Raw genomic sequence first — 1,459 nt, 5'->3', positions numbered from 1 at the left:
ACATTTTGTAGGCCCCGTCTCTACAAAAATTAGCTGGGCATGGTGGTGCACACCTGTAGTCCCAGCTACTCAGGAGGCCGAGGCAGGAGAATCACTTGAACCCAGGAGGCAGAGGTTACAGTGAGCAGAGATTGCACCACTACACTCCTGCCTGGGCGACAGAGACAGACTTTGTCTCAAAAAAAAAAAAAAAAAAAAAAAAAAAAAAAAAAAGGCAAAGAAGAGTCTGAACTGCAAGGCCATTGTCCTAATAGACATTGCTTGGTTGCAGTAAACTGGAACCAATTCACATTTGCATGAGTAAAAGGGAAAGGATGACAGTAGGGACATAACAGGCAATAGTGCAGGCAGACATCCAAGGAGGGAGCATAGTCTTATCAGGCCATGAGGAGGCAGCCACCAGCAAGTCAGAAAAAGACTAATTCTGGAGTCTCTCATGGGTCCCAAAGGTCTCTCAGCAAGAATGATTCAGACCTCAGTTTCTTTCAGCTTTCACTTTTGAAAGCCAGCTCTAGATGAATTTTCAATTCAAGAGTCCTCCATGGAGTCTCTACCTGGGTTCTTCTGTTTCAGTTCTCAAAAGAGATGATCAAGAGAGATTAAGCCAGCCCACCTTATGATTGGCTGCCCTGAATCAGGTGTCTATAGCCCAATCAGCTGAGGCCAAGGGTTACACAGTACAAACATGGCTGTCTGTGCCCTTCCCTTCAGCAAGGGCAATTGCAAAGGAGAGGAAATTCGGTTGGCACCCCAAAATGGGTGTGACACATATGTGTAAATAAATATAGTATGAAAGGCCAAGACCGTCAGCTCTGTTTCTCTTTGGATAACTCATCAACAGGTGACTAAGTCGCTGAGGCTTGGTAAAAAACTAACATTTGCCCAGCACTTCTTAGTAGTCAAGGAAACTGGGGCAATAATGAGCAACTCTTATCATAATTACTCATATTAGCTGACCTATAAAGCAGCCTGAAGGGAGAGTATCAAAGGGTGTGGAAAAAAGGGAAAGCAAGATATAAACAGAAGAAAAAGGAAAAGGAAAGGAATGACTATGTATTGAACACCTACTGAATGCCAGACAATATGCTGGGAGCTTATATGTTTTCTGTTGTGTTTGTTTGACAAGGAGAACAGGGGAGAAGGAAAAACTTAGGCTACTATAAGAAAGGTGAACGCTGCTGCCTGTTTTCCCATGGTGTGGATTTATTTTAAGAGAACTCACTATTTTTATATTACCTGTAGAGCAAATCTCAGTTATCAGAAAATCTTAGGTGATGTGTCTTCCAGGTTTAAGCACAAAACTTCTTCTTTTAATTTTAACCAGCTCACATGGATGAATCTCAAGCATTATGCTTAATGAAAGAAGCCAGACAAAGGACTACATACTATGGTTACAGAACAAAAAGTGTACAAAAGTCCTACAAATACACACCTGGTAAATTATGCCTCAATAAACCTG

General features: G+C 41.9%; 1 annotated feature.

Annotated features, from left to right (window-relative positions):
• Positions 720 to 889: an enhancer, noted in NCBI's record as "active region_29482". NCBI's record gives its function as "activates an Ori minimal core promoter by ATAC-STARR-seq in GM12878 lymphoblastoid cells {active_cell/tissue: GM12878}" and the evidence as "EXISTENCE:reporter gene assay evidence [ECO:0000049][PMID:35858748]".

The sequence above is a fragment of the Homo sapiens genome, chromosome X (assembly GCF_000001405.40).
Source record: "Homo sapiens chromosome X, GRCh38.p14 Primary Assembly".
NCBI lineage: Eukaryota > Metazoa > Chordata > Mammalia > Primates > Hominidae > Homo > Homo sapiens.
Note: the sequence above shows the minus strand (reverse complement) of the source record. Positions and strands in the feature narration are given on the sequence as shown.